The 21,901-nt window shown below is 51.0% G+C and overlaps 1 protein-coding gene and 2 long non-coding RNA genes across 8 annotated transcripts in view, besides 11 other annotated features; 2 read left to right on the top strand and 1 right to left on the bottom strand.

Annotated features, from left to right (window-relative positions):
* The first annotated feature begins 795 nt into the window (after nt 1–795).
* On the top strand, nt 796–14,796 carry LOC105378731 (uncharacterized). 3 transcript variants are annotated; one of them, XR_007066092.1, is made up of 5 exons: nt 796–867; nt 4,041–4,171; nt 6,253–6,300; nt 13,852–14,507; nt 14,705–14,796. It is a non-coding gene; the product is annotated as an uncharacterized LOC105378731 (long non-coding RNA). The 3 variants fall into 3 exon arrangements; XR_007066093.1 differs by lacking the exon at nt 14,705–14,796 and having other exon boundaries at nt 13,852–14,173; nt 14,344–14,525; XR_001738057.2 differs by lacking the exon at nt 14,705–14,796 and having other exon boundaries at nt 13,852–14,525.
* Nucleotides 1,131–1,360: an enhancer, noted in NCBI's record as "active region_1047". NCBI's record gives its function as "activates an Ori minimal core promoter by ATAC-STARR-seq in GM12878 lymphoblastoid cells {active_cell/tissue: GM12878}" and the evidence as "EXISTENCE:reporter gene assay evidence [ECO:0000049][PMID:35858748]".
* Nucleotides 6,968–7,469: an enhancer, noted in NCBI's record as "H3K4me1 hESC enhancer chr1:53805229-53805730 (GRCh37/hg19 assembly coordinates)". NCBI's record gives its function as "activates a minimal SCP1, AML or CMV promoter by ChIP-STARR-seq in primed H9 embryonic stem cells {active_cell/tissue: H9 hESC(primed)}" and the evidence as "EXISTENCE:reporter gene assay evidence [ECO:0000049][PMID:30033119]".
* On the bottom strand, nt 10,517–18,793 carry LRP8-DT (LRP8 divergent transcript). Its single transcript, NR_131923.1, has 3 exons — nt 18,651–18,793; nt 15,775–15,858; nt 10,517–10,856 (listed from the first exon to the last, which is right to left on the bottom strand). It is a non-coding gene; the product is annotated as an LRP8 divergent transcript (long non-coding RNA).
* Nucleotides 18,520–18,749: an enhancer, noted in NCBI's record as "active region_1046". NCBI's record gives its function as "activates an Ori minimal core promoter by ATAC-STARR-seq in GM12878 lymphoblastoid cells {active_cell/tissue: GM12878}" and the evidence as "EXISTENCE:reporter gene assay evidence [ECO:0000049][PMID:35858748]".
* Nucleotides 18,820–19,019: a silencer, noted in NCBI's record as "silent region_909". NCBI's record gives its function as "represses an Ori minimal core promoter by ATAC-STARR-seq in GM12878 lymphoblastoid cells {active_cell/tissue: GM12878}" and the evidence as "EXISTENCE:reporter gene assay evidence [ECO:0000049][PMID:35858748]".
* LRP8 (LDL receptor related protein 8) overlaps nt 18,956–21,901 on the top strand; it is an 85,707-nt gene continuing 82,761 nt past the window's right edge. For all 4 annotated transcript variants that reach the window (NM_033300.4, NM_017522.5, NM_001018054.3 and 1 more), the window contains exons 1-2: nt 18,956–19,237; nt 20,034–20,153. In NM_033300.4, coding sequence (NP_150643.2) covers nt 19,114–19,237; nt 20,034–20,153 — 244 coding nt within the window. In that variant the 5' untranslated portion in view covers nt 18,956–19,113. The remainder of the gene's footprint in view (nt 19,238–20,033; nt 20,154–21,901) is intronic.
* Nucleotides 19,090–19,239: a silencer, noted in NCBI's record as "silent region_908". NCBI's record gives its function as "represses an Ori minimal core promoter by ATAC-STARR-seq in GM12878 lymphoblastoid cells {active_cell/tissue: GM12878}" and the evidence as "EXISTENCE:reporter gene assay evidence [ECO:0000049][PMID:35858748]".
* Nucleotides 19,290–19,459: a silencer, noted in NCBI's record as "silent region_907". NCBI's record gives its function as "represses an Ori minimal core promoter by ATAC-STARR-seq in GM12878 lymphoblastoid cells {active_cell/tissue: GM12878}" and the evidence as "EXISTENCE:reporter gene assay evidence [ECO:0000049][PMID:35858748]".
* Nucleotides 19,800–19,909: an enhancer, noted in NCBI's record as "active region_1045". NCBI's record gives its function as "activates an Ori minimal core promoter by ATAC-STARR-seq in GM12878 lymphoblastoid cells {active_cell/tissue: GM12878}" and the evidence as "EXISTENCE:reporter gene assay evidence [ECO:0000049][PMID:35858748]".
* Nucleotides 19,975–20,269: a silencer, noted in NCBI's record as "tiled region #13758; HepG2 Repressive non-DNase unmatched - State 1:Tss, and K562 Repressive non-DNase unmatched - State 1:Tss". NCBI's record gives its function as "represses a minimal TATA promoter and a strong SV40 promoter by Sharpr-MPRA in HepG2 and K562 cells {active_cell/tissue: HepG2 | K562}" and the evidence as "EXISTENCE:reporter gene assay evidence [ECO:0000049][PMID:27701403]".
* Nucleotides 20,290–20,349: a silencer, noted in NCBI's record as "silent region_906". NCBI's record gives its function as "represses an Ori minimal core promoter by ATAC-STARR-seq in GM12878 lymphoblastoid cells {active_cell/tissue: GM12878}" and the evidence as "EXISTENCE:reporter gene assay evidence [ECO:0000049][PMID:35858748]".
* Nucleotides 20,610–20,889: a silencer, noted in NCBI's record as "silent region_905". NCBI's record gives its function as "represses an Ori minimal core promoter by ATAC-STARR-seq in GM12878 lymphoblastoid cells {active_cell/tissue: GM12878}" and the evidence as "EXISTENCE:reporter gene assay evidence [ECO:0000049][PMID:35858748]".
* Nucleotides 20,988–21,743: an enhancer, noted in NCBI's record as "H3K27ac-H3K4me1 hESC enhancer chr1:53790955-53791710 (GRCh37/hg19 assembly coordinates)". NCBI's record gives its function as "activates a minimal SCP1, AML or CMV promoter by ChIP-STARR-seq in primed H9 embryonic stem cells {active_cell/tissue: H9 hESC(primed)}" and the evidence as "EXISTENCE:reporter gene assay evidence [ECO:0000049][PMID:30033119]".

Here is a 21,901-nt window from a genome sequence, read left to right as displayed (position 1 = left end):
GGACACAGCAGTCCCAGGGTCTCTGCCACAGACTCACCATGTCACCTTGGGCCTCACCTTCCATACCTGCAAAATGGGGGCAATGAACTTGCTCTGGGCCCAGGGATAAGGAACGATTCTTGGTCAGGTTGGCACACCCCAGAAACTTCCACAAATAGCAGCTGAACCACCCCATCCCCTAGGGCCTCAGGCACAAATCAGCAGCAGAGAAATACCTCTGGGCCCAGCTAGCCTAAGCACAGGCCGAATCAAGGAGGAGCCAGGCCAGGGCCCCTGCAGCTGCCTACTTCCGAGCTGTCAGCATGATGCATGGGACAAATTAAATCCATAAATAAAAGAAGAGTGGCCTGTGGCATCTTGGCCACAACTGCACTTCTTGGCAAACGTTGGCAGGGGATGGTAGGAGAGCCCCTAAGAAGGCCCAGCCCAGCATCCTCTGTATCCACCTGCCTGCCCTACAGGCCACAGAGCATCTGGTCACCAGGCGTTCACTTGGCCTTGTTCCTGTCTCATGTGCGTTCTCCCTGACCAGCTCCAGACACAGCCACCTGCTGCCTCAGCCCCGGTAGTTCCTGATGTAGGAGAACGGGGTCTGGTGGGAGCCAAAGGGCTTCTGGTAATGAGGGGCTTGGGTCAATAGTCTGGGTTCAAGGCCCAGTCTTGGGGTGAGGGCTGTCCCCTACCCACTCTGCCTGGTACCCAATAGATCAGGAGTGAATTAACTTCCAGCCTCCACTAGGAATCTCTCCTCAGGACCCTCATACCCTGCATAGTAACCACTCCCTTCTCATCCTCCAAGGCCATCATTGGACACCTCCTCCAGGAAGCCCTGCTGGAATGACCCAGATTCAGCCACTTGACTCCCAGGTGCATAGGCTTCTCCCAAAGTGGGAAAGTCCTGGGCTGGGCCCAGCCCACCAAGATCTTCCCTGGCAGACTTGTTTAAAATGCCAGCATCCTCCTTGCCTCAGCAGCCCCAGTCCCCATTCCCTGCTTTAGTTTTTGAGCACAGTCCTTATTGCCATCTATCATGATTTTAATGATTTCTTTATTTTCTGGCTCCCCCCTAGAATGTAAGTTCTCTGAGGGGAGGGTCTTTGTCCTTTCTGCTTGCTTTTGGATCTCTGTGTGTAGAGCAGCACCCATGTACATGGCCTCAAATATTAGACAAAAGACAAAAGGTAGGGTGCACAGCATATGCAAAGGCTCAGAGGTGTGATCGGGCTTGGGAAAGGAGGTGTGATCGGGCTTGGGAAAGAAGGTGTGACAGATGGTGGGCATCCCAGAGCAAGGTCCTCAAGAGGTGAGGCGAAGGGAGGAGAGCAAGGCCCAAACAGAGAAGGATCTGGAATGCCAGGTCAGGGTTACAGGGTGATGAGGGCCATGGGAGGGTGTTAAACATTCATTCCACGGACAGGACACAGACTGCACAGTAGCTTTCTTTCTTCCCTTTTTTGCTTGTTTGTTTGAGTCAGCAACTCGCTCTGTTGCCCAGGCTTGAGTGCAGTAGTGCAATTATAGCTCACTGCAGCCCAGATCTCCCAAACTCAACCTTCAGAGTAGCTAAGACTATGGGCGTGCATCACCATGTCTGGCTAATTTTTTATTTTTAGTAGAGATGAGGTCTCACTATGTTGCCCAGGCTGGTCTCGAAGTCCAAGCAATTCTCCCACCTCGGCCTCTCAAAGTGCTGGGATTACATGCGTGAGCCCCTGTGCCTGGCCATTTGTTTGTTTTTATCAAATTGGTTGCAAACATTTAAAAGATAAAAGATCAAGATATTTTACACAAAAATCTAGATCTATTTTCTTGAAAGCTTTTCTTGAAGAATCAGAAGAGCTGGTCTCACCGGGTCCCTATCCCTGCCAGGCAACCACCCACTGGAGTGGGTCTCACTCCCCAGCCCCTGAAGGCCTGTGGGCTTTCTGCCCCTGAGCAAAACTAGAAGCCCCTAGCCTCTTGTCAGGGTCTCCAGAGCACCTGGCCTAGGCCTGGTCCTTGGACGGATGCTGGATTGATGAATGAATGAGTGGAGAACAGATGAATGCAGCAAAAATGAGAGTAATAATGCCTGCTCCCTGTGTCCCACTTTCCCAAAGAAGCATGGAGGTCCTGGTGTTTTGTAAACTTGAAAGTGCCGGAGCTGAGCGTGGTGGCTCACACCTGTAGCCCCAGCTACTCAAGAAGCTGAAGCAAGGAGATTGCTTGAGCCCAGAGTTTGAATCTAGCCTGAACAACATAGTGAGACCTCATCTCTAAAATAAAACAAAACAAAAACCAACTTGGAAGTCCTGGGAAGAATAATAACAAGAAAATAAACACGTATGTAGCATTTACCAGGTGCCCAGCCCCGTTCATAGCAATTTTCTTCCATTATCTAATTTGTCCCTCCCCAGGGTGCAGGATCTCATCCCATCCTGGGAGCAGTATGCCACTTACAGGGCTGGTGGGATGATTAACTTAATTAATGCAGGTAAAGTGCCTAGAAAAGAGCGTGGCACCCAGCAGGTGCCCAGCAAGTGCTAGTCATTGATACACAAGTCAGGCACTTCCACAAGCAGTGAGCTTGTGTGGTGCCTAGATGAGGCTGCTGAAGCTGGGGAGGTTGAGAGATTCACCCAAGTTCACAGGATGATTGGTAGGGAACAGATGGAGAAATATGTGGCATTGGGGGCCTCCACCAGGGAGCCTGTTCTGGTGAGGGGCTGGGTGAAGGGGCAGATCTCTGGTAGAGCAGAAGGCTGTGGTCACGGGACCATAATTCTGGTCCGGGTTGGGGGTTTGGGCCTCCTCCACTCCCTTCCAGCCCTGCAGTCTGAACCCAGCACCCTCCCTCCTCGCTGACCCATCCAGCAGGCCCTCTCAGTGTAGCAACTCACCTTACAGATGGAGACACCAAGACCCAGAGGAGAGGCAGCCTGGCAGGGGAGAGGCACCTGGGCCTCTGGTCAGACCCTCCATGTTCCAGTCCCGGCCCTGCTCCTTACTGGCCCTGAGACCCTGGCCAAGCTGCTTAACCACACTGGTTCTGGGTCCTCACCTTTTATGACCCGTCAGAAGTGTGTACCCTGCCCCAGGCACCCGGCTCAGAGCCTTGCATGTATCATTCCATTCATTCCTGACAGCAACCTCATTCCATGCATGGGGACTCTGAAACGCAGAGAGGGGAAGCAGCTTTCCCGGGTTCACACAGCTAGGGGTGGATTCAGAGTCAGGATTCAGACCGAGACCTGGGTAAGTCCAAAGCCTGTGTTATTGAAGTGAAGGAAATAATGTGGGCCTCATACAGTCGTTGTGAGAATGTAAGGAAATAATAATACCATAGTAGCTAATGTTTCCATCACTTTTGGTTATTGGAAAAGGTGCTATTATAAGCATTTTTAACATATTACTAGTTTAATCTGCACATCGATACTATTGACGGGCATCAATGCTATTATCATCCCCTGATTATAGATCAGGAAACTGAGGCACAGAGAAACTGAAAGCACAAGTTAGGTGATTTGCCCAAGGTCACAGACAAGTGTGTGGTAGAGTCAGGGTTTAAATCCAAGCCTTCAGCTCCCAAGTCCTTGTTTTTTTTACCCACTACTCATGAGCGCAGAGCACCAGCCTGATGGGGCATGCTGGACCCGAAATCCACATGGGCTCTTCTCCTACCTCCAGCATTATGATGTCAGCAGCAGAGCCAGCAATGAGGATGCAGGACACAGGGATTCCTGTCCCAGACAGCTCCCCATCCACCTCACTCCAGCCCCACCACAGGATCTGGTTGGGTCTGGTTGGGTGCACAGGCCATCACCCCTGGGAAAGAGAAGTATCAGCCCAAGAACGATGTGGGAGCTATGCCATCCATCTCCCTAGAAACCTGGGGCAGGGCTGGTCCAGCTAATGCTGCCTGTTCTCCATCCTCACCAGGGCTGTCCCTTTCTCTCAGTTTCCAGAGCCTAGATCTGGGATCCCACAGCAGGCCCCACGGAAGCCATGACCATACTGAACATACTTTTTGACTTCTCCTGTCCTATATCCCGCCATTCCAGGTCTTCTTAAGTGAGGAGACGTCTCCAGCCTTGCTTCAATACATGCTTTCCAACTTCTGCACCTGTTCCACGGTTCCGTCCGCCTGAAGGCTCTCTCACTCTCCTCCAGAAAGACTTCCATCTCCCTGCAGGTAGGGTTCGTCCTCCCTTTCTCTGAAACTCCATGGCCCCACAGCATCACACACCACTGTGATTGTCTTGTTTGTCTCAAGTCCTAGACTAGGCACCTAGTAATTTTACACAAACCCCTCCAAATGCACAGCAACACACTCAGAAGTATGCAACCACACAGATGTATAGCAAAGCTCTCTTCATCTAGATACACCCAGACACCCCAAGGGCCAATTACACAAAGGCACAGGCACATACACATGACCCTCTAACCAGGACACCCAGATACATGCTAATGGTGACACAAGCAACAAGTTGACATCTGGGAGTTTACACACACACACACACACACACACACACACACACTCATAGCATACTTCCAAGCGCACACAGACTCAGCTACCCATGCAAGACCACATGAAGAAATAGCCCTCTCCACACATGGATATGCACACACATGTACAGTCATGCAGAAACACGCAACACCCCACAGTGGGCTCACACACAGAGGTGCCATCTGGTGTCTGTGCTGGAGTCAGTCCCAGGGTGGGCTGGGCGGGCTATGGCCTGAGGCTGGGAAGGCATCTCCTCCGAGACAGGTTGGGGGTCCCAGGGGCAGGGCCTGGGAAACCAGGCCACCACCCCCCGCCGGAGCTCACTCATGGAGGGGAAGAGAAATGATGTGTCTATTGGGCTCCTGGGGAGTATGGGGTGAGGGGTGGGGAGAGGCTGGTCCTGAGTGGAAGGGGCCTCTTGGCTCCAGTTTTCTTCTTGCCACTTGGGCTTCAGACCATCACCAGCCCAGGAAAGCCCTGTCCCCAGGCCCGGCTGCAGGCCATTGCTCAGGCACTCTTGACAGACTTGTCCCTTATGTAGTAAAAGGCAGCATTTACCAAGCACAGGGCCAGACCCAGGGAGAACTTGCACCCCAGGTGCCTCACAGGTTCACCCTATTCCCAGCCTGCCAATGCTGACACACAGATCACAGTGTGCCTCACTTCAGGGATGTCATCTCCCATGATGCTCTCCATACCTCTGACACCTAGGGATCATTCTGCCCATTTTCAAGAGGCTTAGAGAGGTGAAGGTAATTGCCTGAAGTGACCCAGCCCTCCCGAGGTGTCTCCTCGTCCCTGGGTCCCCAGGCTGGGGCTGAGTGTCCCTCAGTCCTCACCCACTCCCCAGGAAAGCGGCAAGAGCAGGGACAGCCCAGAGTAGGGGAAACAGCAGGATAGATGTTGCTGGACACAGCCCAGTGAGGAGCCATAAACTGTAAGGGCCGGAGATGGTGCATCAGGGACTACACATTCCACTCACTGCACCCACCCAAGCAAGGGCGGGGAAGAGACCTCAGGGCTTTATTTGTAGGTGGGTGTATTAGTCTGTTCTTATGCTGCTATAAATACATACCTGAGACTTGATAATTTATAAAGAAAAAGAGGTTTAATGGACTCACAATTCCACATGGCTGAGGAGGCCTCACAATCATGGCGGAAGATGAAGGAGGAGCAAAGGCACATCTTACATGGTGGCAGGCAAGAAAGCGTGTGTAGGGGAACTGCCCTTTATAAAACCATCAGATCTTGTGAGACTTAGTCACTATCACGAGAACAGCATGGGAAAAACCCACCCCCATGATTCACGTCCCTCCCACAACACCTGATTGTGGGAGCTACAATTCAAGATGAGATTTAGGTGGTGACACAGTCAAACCACATCAGTGGGGTACCTGGAAGTCATGACATTTCATTCATTCATTCATTCATTCAGCACATATTTATTGAGTCACCACCCTAGGAATGGAGGCTGCAGCGGCAGACACATCAGAGGCCTTGCATCTGGGCCTGTCTACTGGTGGGGACACATCCAGCCCTGTTCTGGGGACTGCCGTCTCGAGACTAGTCGCTGCCACCAAACCTTCCTGTCCTTTCTCTGGTTTCTTCTTCCTTGGGTATAGTCTCCTCTGTTTTGGAGGAGAGCAGGTGGTGTCACCCCAGTGACCATGACGGCTCACAGTGATTGAGAGCTTACTATGTGCCAGGCCCCTGTGACTCAGTTAAGCTTCAGTGAGGTAAGTACTTCCATCATCCTCATTTTACAGGGAAACTGGACACATGGAGACATTGAGCCACTGCCCAAAGTTACACAGGTAGGACAAGTGGCAAGGTTGGGATGTGAACCCAGGAAGTCCCATAGCAGCACCTGCACACAAGACCACAGAGCTATTCCTCCCCTACCGGCTCTGCAGTGTGTGTATGGATAGGTGTGGGGGTGGTGGGTGCAGGACAGGGGGAGGAGGCTGTCAGGGAGTGGGTTTCCAGGACGAAGCAGAACAATAAAATGTCTCTGCTGCCTTGTCTCTTTCCGCTTCTCTCTCCCAATTTCACTCTCACCTCACTTGATATGACTCACCTGGCCTGACAGTTCTCCTTGCTTCGCTCTAATGCCTTCAGTGCCTCCTTGCTGCCTTCAGGATACAGTCCAAGACCCTGGGCTTGGCATTCATGGCTCCAGGAGGCACCCTTTCCAGACCCACTTCTGCCAGGCACTGCCCTGTGCTCTGTGCTCTGCTCACAGCAACATGTGAGCTGCGTCCCCCACCGTGCCTCCTTACCCTACTGTCTGCACTTTGTCCTGTCTGCCCGGAGCACTCTTCCCCCCACTTTCCCTACCCAGCTCACTCCCGTCAGACTTCAAAACAGCTCCAGGCAGCCTTCCCTGGGCCCCAGGTTGGGCTAAGCCCTCTCCTCTGCAGTGTCACAGCCTGGTCTGTGCCATAGCCTTGATCCACTGGGTTGTCACGGTTTCCATCTCCAGCTGCCCCCAAGATGGTTCCCCAATATCACCCAGCATGGGGCCTGGCACAGGGGCCCTGGGTGGACCTGGATTGTGGGTGAGGTTTCAGGGCCCCTGGAAGATGGCTCCACAGGCAGTGAGAAGTGGAGGAGAGGACAGAGTGGGGCCCAGGACAGGTGAGGTGTGGGGTCCAGGGCACAGGGAGTCAGAGTGGCCAGAAGGATCTGGGGACTGGGTGCTCCAGGGCTTGGTTCATTGAGGCCCCAAGGACAGTTACCCAGGCTGGTTCACAAGGTTGTTAGGGTCAAACCACAAACATCCCATGAGACTGTGGCCAGGCTGTGGCCCCAGTATTAAAAACTATATCGATTATGGAGGCCAGGTGCGCTGATTTATGTCTATAATCTTAGCGTAATCCTAGCCTTGGGAGGCTGAGGTGGGCAGATCACTTGAGGCCAGGAGTTCGAGATCAGCCTGGGCAACATGGCAAAACCCTGTCTCTACTAAATATACAAAAATTTAGCCAGATGTGGTGGTGGGTGCCTGTAGTCCCAGCTACCTGATAAGCTGAGGCACAAGAATCGCTTGAACCCGGAGGCGGAGGTTGCAGTGAGCTCAGATCGTGCCACTTTACTCTAGCTTGGGCAACAGAGAGAGGCTTGTCTCAAAAAAACAAACAAACAACAACAATGACAACAAAAACAAAAACAAAAAAACAAAAACACCTGTATAGATTATGGAATAATAGATACATACAAAAGAGATGCATGTTGCATTTTATAAGAAATAAGTTGGCCAAAATAATTTATTATCTACATTAGGACCTTTCTGAGAAAGGAAAGGCTTGCACTGAATAATTATGTTGAGACAATAGATGTAAACCAAGATTGTCCTAGAAATACCAAATGTATGGTCATCATTATGAAGCATTTTAATAATGAACACCTTTGAACCCAACTTCAACATGAGAGCATGACCAATGCTGTGGGCTTCCTCCTTGTCCCATTCCCCTGCCTTCCCTATAGAAGTAACTAAGATCTTAAATTCTGTGACTAATTTTCTCATTAAAAACAAAGAAACACACTTTTATCACCTATGTATGAAAACCTAAACAATATCATTTAATTTTCTTTGTTTTGGAGCCTTACAAGTGTCAAATCCTGTTGTATGTAGTCTTCTGCAACAGGCTTTTCTCACTCCGCATTATAATTCTATGATTCCTTCTGTATCCAGCCACAGCTATGTTAGACTCATTGCCACTGCTGTATAGGATTTCATTATATGGTGATGCCACAATTAATTAATTTTACTGTTAAGGACATTAGGGTGGTTTCCATGTTTTTACCATAATAAACAGCACTGCTATGAATATCCTTGCACCTGTCTCTGGGTGCTTGCATGCAAGTGTATCTCCAGGGTTTACACTTAGTAATGAAATCGCAATATTCTAAAGTGGTTGCAGCAATTTACACTGCATTAGGAGCATATAAGGATCCCTGTTGATTCCTGCCTCTCCAATACTTGCCACTATGGGACTTCTTTTCCATGGAAAATCTTCCTGTGGTCTTAATTTACATTTTCCTGATTTCTATAAGGCTGAGAATCTTTTCTTGTGGTTTATTTTTCATTCATATTTTTCTGCTGTGAAATGCTCATTCATATCTTTTGCTCTTTTTTAATTGAGTTGTCTTCTTACCAATTTGTAAGAATTACTTATGTATTCCGGATAGTAATGCTTTGTGCGTTATTTGTGCTGTAATATATTCTCCCAGTATGTGGCTTGTCTTTTCAACAATCAGAAAAAAAAATTAACTTGGACAAAGAAGAGATTAGGCATGGTGAGAAACACTTCAACAGAAACAACAACAAAACATTACTAACATCCTCAAAGAAATAAGAGAAAATATTGCATCCGTGAGAAAAGAACGAGATACTCTAAAAAAAGGAATAGTCAAAGAACAAACAAAAGGCTTTTGGAAATATGATAAGATAAATTTTTGAAAAACAACAAAAAACTGTTGAAGAGTTGAAGAACATTTCCAGAATGAAGAGCAAAATGGGATGAAAAATAGGTGGAAAAAGGATATAAGAAATATAGAGAACTGCTCCAGGAGGGCCAGTATTTGAATAATTAAGGAGTTCCTGAAAGAAAAAATAAAATCATTATAGAGGTACTTCTTTTAAATTTTCTCCAAAATGAAGATGATTAGTTTGTCCGTGAGGACTCACTGGGTACCCAGCACAGTGAATGGAAATCGATTCACTTCAAGACACACTAAGGCTGAGCAGGCATGGTGGTATGAGCCTGTAGTCCTAACTACTCAGGAGGCTGGGGCAGGAGGATCCTTGAGCCCAGGAGGTCAAGGCTGCAGTGAGCGATGATTGTGCCACTGAACTCCAGCCTCGGTGGCGATGGGATCCCTTCTCTTAAAAGAAAAGACCCACTGAGGACACAGCTTCCAGAAAGAGAGAACAGAGTCTCTAGAAAAGATTAGGAAACAGAATGGCCTCAGACTTTTCAGCAGAAACTGGAAGACAATGGAGCAAGCCTTCAAAATTCAGAGGGAAAAATATTTCCAGTTTAGAAATTTATACCTGGTCAAACTATCTGATTAAATGTGAGGCACTTTTAGAAAGGCAAGGTCTTAAGATTTCACCCCAAACACATCCTTTTAGAAAAGTATAGGTATACATGGGGCCAGGCGCAGTGGCTTATGCCTGCAATCCCAGCACTTTGGGAGGCCAAGGCGGTTGGATCACCTGAGGTCAGGAATTTGAGACTAGCCTGGCCAACATGGAGAAACCCCATCTCTACTAGAAATACAAAAATTAGCCAGACATGGTGGCACGTACCTGTAGTCCCAGCTACTTGGGAGGCTGAAGCAGGAGAATTGCTTGAACCTGGGGGGTGGAGGCTGCAGTGAGACGAGGTCACACCACTGCACTCCAGACTGGGCAACAGAGGGAGACTCCGTCTCAAAAAATAAAATAAGATAAATAAATAGGTAAACAAAAAATAAAACAAAAAGAAAGCTATGGGTATATGTTCCCCCAAATAAGGTAGTGAACCCAGAAGGGGAAGACGTGGGATCTAGGAATTGAGGGGTTCGACCCAGGAGAAAAGTGCAGCACAGTCTCCAGGTGACAACCAGGGCAGCTGGCCTTGCCATCAACCAGTCCAGGACTCAGCAGTCAGAAATCCGAAAGGGAATTCTTCAAGAGGAATAAGTTGGTAGAATACAGTAGTCCCCCATTATCCTCAGGGATGTGTTCCAATACCCCCAATGGAACCTGATTGCCGTCAATCAGAACGTTTCTGTCCGTGTCTTGCACCCACAAATTTAATGGCTTTTCCATCATTACTAAGCACTCATCACACACAGGTGTTGTAACTTTTGCAGCTTGAGTTGCAACAGCAAAACTAGCACAAATTTCTTTCCTTCTTCACGATTTCATGAATAGAATCATTCTTACTGTAGATCTTAGCAACCACAGCATACAATTTTGTTTTTTAAATTTTCTTATTAAGTCAAGTACTTTCACCTTTCTACTTAAAGGAAGTACTTTACAGCTTTCCTTTGGCATATCGGAATCACCAGCAACACTCCTCTTGTGCTTTGGAGCCCATAATGAAGTAAAATAAGGATTACTTGAACAGAAGCACTGCGATCCTGCGACAGTTGATCTGGGAACTGAAGCAGCTGCTGAGTGACTGATGGGAGAGTAGTGTCTATAGCGCGGATCCACTGGACAAAGGGATGATTCACATCCCAGGTGGGACGAAGCCGGACAGCACGAGATTTCATCCTGCTACTCAGAATAGCATGCAACTGAAAACTTACACATTGTTTATTTCTGGAATTTTCCATTTAATATCTTTGGACCGTGGTTGACCTCGGGTAAATTAATCTGCGGAAAGTGAAACTTCGGATAAGTGGGGATTACTGTATTGAATGTGGGTGATTGTAGTAAGAGGAGATTTACACAAATGAGGGAGAGTTTAGGGAGGAAAGAGAGATAAATACATAGAAAGCTAAGAAAGAAATAAAGCAATAAAGCAAAAGGTAACAATTATTAATTCCAGGGAAAACACAAAGGCATGCAGGAAAAAAGTATTAATCATGGCACACTACAAATAGCATTTATTGTATTACGATCACATATAAGTATGTTCAGAATATGACACCAAAAGCACAGACAACAAAAGAAAAAACAGATTGAACTACATCAAAATTGAAAAATTCTGTGTATCAAAGGACAGAATCAATAGAGTGAAAAGGCTGCCAATGGGATGGGAGAAAATATTTGCAAACCATATATCTGATAAGGGGTTAATAGCTAAAATATATAAGAATTCCTACAACTCAACAACAAAACACTAAACAACCCAATTGAAAAATGGGCAAAGGAATTTAATAGACATTTCTCCGAAGAAGATATACAAATGGCCAATAAGTACATGAAAAGAGGCTCAGTATCACTAATTATCAAGGAAATGCAAATGAAAACCGCAGTGAGAAAAAAAACCTCACATTCATTAGGATCTGTGTTAAAACAAACAAAGAAACAACAACCACAACAACAAAAGCAGAAAACAACAAGTTTTGGCCAGGACATGGAGAAACTGGAACTCTTACACATTGTTGGTAGGAACGTAAAATGATACAACTGCTGTGGAAAACACTATGGTGGTTCCTCAAAAAATAAAAACTAGAATCACAGTATGATCCAGCAATTCCACTTCTGAGTATATTCAAAAGAACTGAAGGCAAGGACTTGAAGAGATATTTGTACACTCATGTTTATAGCAACATTATACGCAGTAGCTAAAATGTGGAACCAACCCAACTGTCCCTTGATGGATGAATGAAGAAACAAAATGTGGAACAGATATACAATGGAGTATTCCCGATCCTTAAAAAGGAAGGACATTGTGACACGTGCTACAACATGGATGAACCTTGACGATGTTATGCTAAGTGAAATAAGCCACTCACAAAAGGGTAAATATTGCATGAGTGCACTTACCTAAGGTGCCTAGAGTAGTCAAATTCATAAATACAGGAAGTAGAATATGGTTTCTGGGGCTGGCGGGGAGGAAGGAAGGGGATTTCGAGGTGTCTCACGCCCGTACTCCCAGCACTTTAGGAGGCTGAGGCAGGTGGATAGCCTGAGCTCAGGAGCTCAAGACCAACCTGGGCAATATGGCGAAACACTGTCTCTTTAAAAAGACTTAAAAAAAAAAAATTAGCCGGGTGTGGTGGTGTGCATCTGTAGTCCCAGCTACTCAGGAGGCTGAGGTGGGAGGATTGCTTGAGCCTGGGGCTGGTGGAGGGTGGGGGTGGCAGAGGTTGCAGTGAGCTGAGATGGTGCCACTGCACCCCAGCCTGGGTGACAGAGCGAGACCCTGTCTCAACCAATCAATCAATCAATCAGTCAATCAATAAAAACATAAAAAACAATTTAAAAAATAAAAACTAACCCAAAATAAAGGCAAACAGAAAAGTACTGAGTCTGCCCCCGAAAGCCATGTGACTCAGGGGGTGGGCACCCAGGGCCTGAGCCACCTGCAAGTCACCTTGAGGAATGCCTGTCATCATGGGCAGAGTGGTCAGGGCTCCTGCCCTCCATCTGTCCTGGAATAAACAGGGAGCTCAGAGCTGATGGCCCTTAGAGAAAAGAGACACATCTGGGTGCACAGAGGCCCATTGTTTATGTGAATAGCCATACATTTAATTTAATATGTATTGGAAAAATATAATGAGCATATAAAGCCTGTGATTTCATGGAGATTATTGCTTAGGATGAAGCTAAATCTACTAAGTGAAAGGATTTAAGGGGAACCCTGGGATGACAGTAGCAGGTAAGGGGAAATAGAGAAACTCATTCAAGTGGATGAGAATGGCTGCAGTTATGGGATATACTGACCTAGTTCAGCCCCTCAGGTTAGGGATGGACACCCCAGGCCTAGAGAGGGAGAAGGACCCACTCAGTCTCCTACATAAGACAGTGGAGGAGGAGGCAGTTGTGAGCCCACCCTCCTGAAAGCACACAGCCAAGAGGCAAGAAACCGAGGCTGGGTCTGTCCTGCTTTTCTACGAACCCCTGAACCACCTTCATCCTCTCCTTTCCTCTGCAAGATGAAGGGATTGTGCAGCTAATAGCAATAATGCAGCTAATATTAATGGTAACTGCAGATAATTCTTACAGAGTTCTTACTATGTGGCAGAAACAACCACAAAGGCAATAATAATAGCAATGACTTATATAGTGTGTACTTAAGTTCTTAGAAGGGTTTTTAGTACATAGTACACACTATATAAGTGTATACATAGTTGGCTCGCTCTATCCATGGGTTCCGAATCCTGGATTCAATCAACTGCAGATCAGAAATATTCAGGAAAAAATAATTGCATCTGTACTGAACATGTACAGGCTTTTTATCCTGGTCACTATTCCCTAAACAATACATCGTAACAACTATTTACATAGCATTTACATTGTATAGGTATTATAAATAATCTAGAGATGATGTAAAGTATACGGGAGGATGTGTACAGATTATATGCAAATATTGTATCATTTTCTATCAAGCACTTGAGCATCTGAGGATTTTGGTATCTGCAGGAGGTCCTGGAACCAGTCCCCCATGGATACAGAGGGAGGACTGTATTAATTCATCCTCACAAATCCTACGACAGTGTGTGGCAGCCAGCCTCCAAGACAGCCCCCAGACAGACCTCCTGGGAGTCACAATCCTATGTAGTTCCCTTCCACATAGAATAGGGCTGATCTATGTAACCAACAGGATATTGCAGAGATGAGGGAGCGTGACTTCCATGGTCAGGTCATACAAGACATTGTGACTTCATTGCTTTCTCTTTCTTTGATCTGTCTCCCTAAGGAAAGCCAGCTATGTCAATGTGGACACTCGAGCAGTCCTCTGGAGTGAGCCACATGGTGAAAAATGGAGTCCTCCTGCCACCAGCCAAAAGGGACTTGCCAACCTTGTGACTGAGCCGGCCCAGACACTCCAGCCCCAGTTAAACCTTTGGAAGACTGTGGCCTCACCAACATCTTGACTGCAACTTCGTGAGAGACCCAGAGCTAGACCCATGCAACTAAGCTGCTCCCCAATTCCTGGCCCACAGACACTGGGAGAGATAATACATGTTTATTTCTGTTTGAAGCTGCTAAGTTTTGGGTAATTTGTTTTGCAGCAATAGGTAATTGATAGCATTAGGAAACATTAGCTAATGCTAACAATGTTTTGCAGATGAGGGAATTGAGGCATAAAAGTAACTTGCCCCAGGTCACACAGGTAACAAGTCGTTTAAACCATGGCAGTTTGGATCTATGTAAAGTTCAGTAATAAATTAGAATCTCTCTTTTACAGGAATCAGGACACTTTGCCTGCTCAGAGGGAGAGAGGGAAAGAGACAGAGACACAAACACAGAGAGACAGTGACATGGAGAAGTGCGCCGTGGGCTCACAGTACCATGTGAAGGACTGGGGCTGCCCTTCTGTAAAGTGAAGGCAGTGGAGAAGTGAAGTGAAGTGTAAGTGAAGAGGAAAGTGAAGGATGGTAGAGAGCACCCTTGCCCTTGCAGCCTGGCTGTGTTTGGCTTGGGGCTGCTGGTCTCCGACCCTGGCTGGGCTGGTGACACAGCCTAAGGTACCTGGGGGTGGAATCTGGCACCCCTGAGCAGACCCCTCCCTGGCTCTTGTCCCCCTGTGCTGACACTCTCTGTCCCAGGCTCTCTCTGCCTCCAGACCAGAGCTCCTCCAGGGAAAAGGTGGAGTCTTGTTCGTCTGTGTCCCTCACCTAGCATAAGGCCTGCCAGAGCAGGCTGGGCGAGGTGAACACAGAAGGTCCTCTGGCCCTGGTACTGGAGAGGCATCATCACTGGGGACAGAGTGAGAACCAGGATGATGCTGTTTGTTACTGGAGGAGCTCCCATTGGATGGAGGAGCCAACAACGACAGGCCAGTGTGATCAGGGAGATTGGGACACACAGTGCCGTGGGGGCCCAGAGGAGCAGGGAGGATCTCTGTGGAGGAGGCGAGAAGTCTTCCCAGAGGAGGAGGCATTTGAGGTGAGGCCCAAACGGTAAACAGAAGCCAACCCATGCGGGAGTGTTCTAGGCAGAGGGCATGGCCTAGCAGAGGTCACAGCCTGGCAAAGTTCTGAAGCTCCAGTTCCTGGGGGGCAGTGTGAAAGAGTAGGCTGCTGGGGCTCCCATGGCTCTGGAGACCAACATGGGACTTGGGAGTGGCAGGGTGCCATATTGACAGCAGGTGAAATATCACCTACATCTGTCTCATGGGGAATTCATTACATTTTGGGTTGGGTTTGGGAGTTTTCTTTGGAAACTCAGGGTAGGCAGGGTCTGTAAGCTTGAGTCAGCCCAGGATGGAGAGGCAGGGTAGGGGAGAACCAAAGTCACCTGGGTGGCCGAAGCTTTACCAGGACCTCAGTGTCCATTTGGTGTCTTGTGTGTTTCAAGGACTGAGCTTTCTCCCTTTGCCCCTCACAGAAATTAACCAGTTTATGTGCCCTGAAAAATTCCCACTTCCACCCTCTGGGTTCGCATGCTGGCTCAGTCACTTACTAGCTGTGTGACCTCTCTGCTGCTTAGCTTACTCATCTGTAAAATGGGATAAACACAAAACCTGCCTGATGGAGATGTCGTAAGGATCAAAGAGGAAAAAGAATTTAAAACATTTAGAATGGTGCCTGACCCCCAGCAAGTATACAATAAATATTGGCTATTGTTGTTATTTTATGTGGTTTTCTTTTAACTTTTTCAAGTAAATATAACTTACCTCATGCTTGTTATGTGTCAGGCCTTGTATTTATCCTCTGAAGACAAAGATGAGGAAGACATAGTCCTCCTAGGGGTACAAATCCTTCAATAAAGGCAGAAACAAGCATTGGTCAAATGTGCCCTGTGCCAAGAATCCAGGAATGCAGGAGAGCGGGCTCCTGTCCTCCAGCAGCTCACAGAGTGACGAGGGAGACAGTTGCATAAGCAGACTGTGGCAACACAGGGTGGTCAGGGCTGCGGCAAAGGGAAGCCCAGGGACTGCAGGAGCCCGGGGAAGTGGCCCAAAGTGGGTGGAGGCTGAGAGGAGCCAGAAGGACCTCTGCTGAGGGGACTGTTGAGAGACAAGGATTTGCCCACTTTGGCAACTGGCATCCTTCTCCCTTGGGGAGGTCGGGGGATGCCTGGGCTCAGTCTTGATTCTGGGTATTGGAAAGCCATCAGGGTTTTGTGAACAGGGAATTATGTTTGAATAATAGTAACAATAACTAACATTTCTCATGCAGCTACTATATACTGTATGCTGTGCGTACACAATCTCATCTCATATCCTCACCACAATGCTGTGAGGTGAGTACTATCACCTTTCTCATTTTTCACATTTAGAGCCACAGAGATTGAGTTGCCCAAGTTCACATAACTAGAAAGGGAAGGAACAGACTCAGACCCAGGCAGTCTCACCCACAGGCCCATGCTCTCCATTTCTCTCTTTTTTCCTTCCTTCCTTCCTTCCTTCCTTCCTTCCTTTCTTTCTTTTTCTTTCTTTCTTTTTTTTTTTTTGAGACAGAGTCTGGTCCTGTGGCCCAGGCTGGAGTGCAGTGGCGCGATCTCGGCTCACTGCAACCTCCGCCTCCCGGGTTCACGCCATTCTCTTGCCTCAGCTTCCTGAGTAGCTGGGACTACAGGTGCCCGACACCATGCCCGGCTAATTTTTTGTATTTTAGTAGAGACAGGGTTTCACCGTGTTAGCCAGGATGGTCTCAATCTCCTGACCTCATGATCCGCCCGCCTCGGCCTCCCAAAGTGCTGGGATTACAGGTGCGAGCCACCACGCCCGGCCTCTTTTCCTTTCTTTTCTTTTCTTCATCTGCTGCCTCTAGACTTCGGCCCACATACTAATCTTACAGTTGGAATGAACCTCAGAAATTCCTTATCTCTTCCATTTCCCAGATAAGAAAGTGAGACTGGGAGATAGGATTGACTTTCCTAAGACCACAGAGTGGAGGAGGAGGAGGGACTGAGTTGGATAGGTCAGTTTGGGCAGCAAGACGGGCTTCTATCTTTATCCCACAGTCCCAGGCACCATTGTGCTTGACACAGAATCCAAACTCCCAGCTGTGGCCTACAAAGCCCTGGTGATCAGGGCCTTGCCAACTCCCTCCAGCCTCACCTGAGGCACCCACTCCTTCCCTGTCATCAGGCCCCGGCCCACCTTGATTGCCATTCCCTTTGCCAAGAATGCCCTTCCGCCTGATCTTCATGGGTCAGGATCCATCTTGCCATTCAGTGAAATGTCACCTCCTCTGTGAGGCCTTGCCTGATCACCTCTACAGTTACCCCCATTGCTCTCACCTGGGTCTGTTTTGTTTTTTCCATAGAAGTTATGATGACCTGAAATAATCTTTTGTTTTCCTGCTTTTGTGTGTATCTCTTCCAACTAAGACATAACTGCAGGAGAGCAGGGAGGAACCTTATCTGTTTCCACTGTATCCTTGAGCCTTGAAGGGCGTTTGGCACATATAGGTGAAAGGACGCCTGCATTTCGTTGTCTGTGTGCTAATGGTCTGTCTCCCCACAGGTCAGGGACCTCTCCGGGGCTGGCACCATGCCTGATTCACCTTGGTACCCGCAGGCCCAGCACAGGGTTGGCACAGAACAGGGCCTGAAATGCTTGCTGAATGACTGAATGAACAAGGGACAGGAGGGGTGATGATGGCAGGAGCACCGTGCCGGGCTCTCTGGGGATCTAAGTCCCTTTCTGGTGGGGTGGCCACAGATATTGCCGCTGGGCTGCCCTTTGGGGGACTACGGCTCAGGAGGCTGCTGAGGAGACAGGGTGGTTTCCAGGCCAAGGGCTAACAGCACCTGCCCATCCGCGAGGGAGGTGAAGGGGCAAGAGGGGAGGGAGGGTGGACCTAACACTGGCTCTTGGCACCTGCAGGCCGGTTGTTTTGAGTGGCCAATGCCCTGGAATCTCATTCTCTAAAGAAGGTTGTGTGGGTTGGACCCGGCTCACAAGTCTGAGGCTGAAATCGAATCCCAGCTCGCTCTCCGCACCCATTCTCCCCAGTGTGGGTGAGGCGGGCTGCAGCCCTCCAGAGGAAGAGGTGCCTTCTCCTTCCTGCAGAAGACAGCAGGGGCGGACAGCGCGGGCCTAGGTGCGCGGCCCCTAGCGGCAGGGATGGCATCCCTTCCGTGCCCTCCCCTTCCCCCCCGCCCGGCCCGCCCCACAGACCTCGTCTTTCTCCATCACAGCGAGGATTCCTTGTCTTCCCTGCGGGCCCCCCCTGGTTGCCCCTCTGACTAGGGGCCTGGAGCGTACTTAACGACGATGAATAGTCTGTGCACCAGGCCCAATCCACCTGCCTCACGTCCCCATGATCACATGAGCGTGCAACATGCACAGATGCACATGGCACGGAAACCAAACCAGCCACAGGGATTTATAATATCCCAGCCGGAGCCCATGACAGGTGCAGGGGTCCAGCCCTGCGCCCCCAGCTTCTCCCTGCTCATCCACATCTTGGGATCTCACCCCTATCCCTCCCTCCCCCGCCCCACGCGCACACTGCACAGGCCTGTTCGTCCTGTAACATCATTTCCCCTCCCGCCCAGGCTCACTCCTAGACATCCCTCAGCCTCTGATCCGCCTGTCACCTCCTCCAGGAAGCCTCTGCTGCTTCCTCTGGACCTGCTACCTCCGTGGTGAGGGGCTCGCCTGGCCCATCCCTGCGTCTGCAGAGCCCAGCACTCAGGCGAGCCCAGAGCAGGGCCGTGGAGCGCCCGCTGAGAGAAGAGTGGACGAAAGACAGGAGGGAGGAGGGCGAGGAGGCGGCGGCAGGGGGAGCGTGGGGCGGAGGCGGCAGCGGGAGGGAGCGCGCGCGCTGGCGGCGGCCGCCCAGGGCCGGGGCCGCGCGCCCAGCCTGAGCCCGCCCCGCCGCCGAGCGTCACCGAACCTGCTTGAAATGCAGCCGAGGAGCCGGGGCGGGCGGCAGCGGCGGCGGCGGCGGCGGCGGGGGCAGCGGCAACCCCGGCGCCGCGGCAAGGACTCGGAGGGCTGAGACGCGGCGGCGGCGGCGCGGGGAGCGCGGGGCGCGGCGGCCGGAGCCCCGGGCCCGCCATGGGCCTCCCCGAGCCGGGCCCTCTCCGGCTTCTGGCGCTGCTGCTGCTGCTGCTGCTGCTGCTGCTGCTGCAGCTCCAGCATCTTGCGGCGGCAGCGGCTGATCCGCTGCTCGGCGGCCAAGGTGCGTGCAGCCGGTCTCTGACTCGGCTCTGCTCCGCCCTAGCCACCAACAAAGCGCGGCCGGGAGGCCGGAGCGGGGAGGGGTCCAGAACCCGGGGCTATCGGGGGCTCCCGGGCGGACAGGCTCCACGCGAAGCGGCTATTCCTGAATTTGCCCTCGGCCCCCCGCCCCCGCGGGCCTCGGTGTTGAGGGCTCTGCCCTCTGGGCAGCGGATCTTGGGGGAGGGGTGCAGGGGGGCTTGGCCAGCGGGGAACTTTGCCGGAGGGGCGGCCATTCATGGTTCCGGATGAGCTGTGTGATTCTCGCCGTTGGGGTTTATTTGACACGCGCGCTCCGCGGCGGTAATGAGCAGAGCCGGGCGGCTTCTCCGCTTGACAATGCGTTTCCGCAGACCCCTGCGCGCGGCGGAGAGAGAGGGGGCTGCCTGCCAGGGTGATGTGCCTGCGGCTCCCACTGCGCCTGGCGCGCGGGCGCGGGGACTCCCTATGGGCTGTATCTGAGCAGATCTCTGACTATGGGTCGCGTGTGCGGGTGAGTGCGTCTGAATGGAGGGTATACCCAGGTCGTGTGACACTTTAAGTAGGTGCCTGGTCTCGCCGTGCCACCGAGCGGCCCGACATCCACGGAACCCCTGCCATCGTGCCCTCCCTTTGGATGGAGTGTGCCTGAAGCCCCCGGGGTCTCCATAATCGCCCCCTTTCCTCCTCCCCAGCGGGTCCTTCCGGGTGGCCCGGACTGCATGGTGGGGAGTGGGGCCGAGTCCGCTGATCCAGCTCACGCTCCCTCCCCCTCGCAGGGCCGGCCAAGGATTGCGAAAAGGACCAATTCCAGTGCCGGAACGAGCGCTGCATCCCCTCTGTGTGGAGATGCGACGAGGACGATGACTGCTTAGACCACAGCGACGAGGACGACTGCCGTGAGTGGCGGGCCAGGGAGCTCAGACCCGGGGAGAGAAAAGGAACGGTGGGGGGCACCATGCTTGGCGCGCACGTGGCTGCAGCCGCCGCGCTGCCACCTGCGCGGGACTTGCCGCCGGAGCCTGCGACCGGGAAACCGCCTGGGCACCGCCTCCCTCGGGGCCGGGTGGCTCTTAGCGACCCGGAGCGGGCAGGAAAGCTGGCGTGTCCTGGTGGGGCCGGGGCGGAGCCCCGGGCAGTGTGCCGGAGGAGGAAGGCGCACCATGCTGGGGAGACTGAACCGGAGCTGTGGGCGGGGACGCGGCAGTCCCTGCAAAGGTCTAGCTTCCCGAAACACGGCCCTCTCGGACTCTTGCCTCGGCCCCGCGGGACGCGCGCGTGTTTCAAAGTTCCACGCAGCTCCGGGCCGCACTGCGCTCCTTTTCCTGCTCAGTTTTTGTGAATGAATGGGCTCCCCAGGGCCCCTGATTGGCTGGGCGAGGACCACCCCATAGGCCCCCGTGGCCGGAGCGGCCAATCGCGGAGCAGACGGATGTGTAGTATTCGGGTTCCCTGGGCGCGGGGGCACCGCCCTGCCCTGCCCCGGCCCCGCCCCGGCCACACCCCCGCGCATATCCTTAGGGTGGTAGGTGCAGGCGGGGCTCGGGCGCCGCTTTTCTGCCGAGTCACAGTGAAGACCTTTTTGAGCCACCCTGGTTAGCAGACCGCGCTTTCCTGCTAGCCCTGCCCGGCTCTGAGTCATGTGGCACACCAGGAAGGAGGGTACCAGGAGGGAGAGTTTGTTTCCTGGAAGGGGCCCGAGAAGCCCGAGGCCACGCGTGAAACGGCTGCCGGCCGCCTTTGCTGGGCGTGCGCGACTGATTTAGAAGTTTCTTCTCAGAGTGCACAGGGTTTCAGAGTGTCTGCGGGACCGGGAGCTAGTTAGCAGGCAGTTGTCACGGTGGAAGAAATGTAGCTCCGGGAACAGAAAAACAGGGCTCTCCTAGAGACATAGACCCGGGCAGTCATTCATTCATCATTCGGGAGCATCTGCTGCGTGCCAGGCGCTGGGGCGCCCTCCAAGACAGGCCAGCCCTGCCAGCCAGGGAGCACTGACGGGGTCTGAGGGAGGAGGGCGACAGGTGGACAGGCCCACAGCCCCACACTGCACAGGAAGGGTCACGGGACACTTGGACAGGCACCCTCTCTGTTGAATCGTTTTGGTTTTTGACTGTTTGCCAGTCACCCTCCCGTTCACTTTCAGACCTAACCCAAAGTTGGCTTTGTGTCTTGTGCGTGGCAGAACTAGACTGACTGAGTCTATGTCTCTAGCACATCTTTCCCTCCTGCCTCAGTTTCCTCACCTGACCACTTGGGTTCACATAATTCCTGCCCCAGCAACATCATTGGACTGTTTTGAGGACCAGTTCTAGAAGCGAAATTGGAAGTAATGAGACTAATGTGTGCTGACCATTAACTGTGCCAAGCACTGCAGTAAGTACTTATCTTGTATAAACTCCTTTAATCTTCATAACAGTCCTATTTTAGAGATTAAAAAACAAAACAAACAAACCAACAAAAACTGAGGCACTGAACTGTGAAGTTACCTGCTTAGCAGCTACTGAGTTGTTAAGTAGGAGCCTGAACTTAAGCATCTAACTCTAGAGTTCTTAGTCTAATCATGACCCTGGACCATTTCCCAGTGCTGTTGAGGTTATGAAAATGGCTGTGCCTTGGTAAAATATTGCAGTGAGTTTCCTCACTGGGA

This window comes from Homo sapiens, chromosome 1 (assembly GCF_000001405.40).
Source record: "Homo sapiens chromosome 1, GRCh38.p14 Primary Assembly".
Classification (NCBI taxonomy): domain Eukaryota; kingdom Metazoa; phylum Chordata; class Mammalia; order Primates; family Hominidae; genus Homo; species Homo sapiens.
The sequence above is the reverse complement of the archived record's forward strand: the minus strand, read 5'-3'. Positions and strand labels throughout refer to the sequence as shown.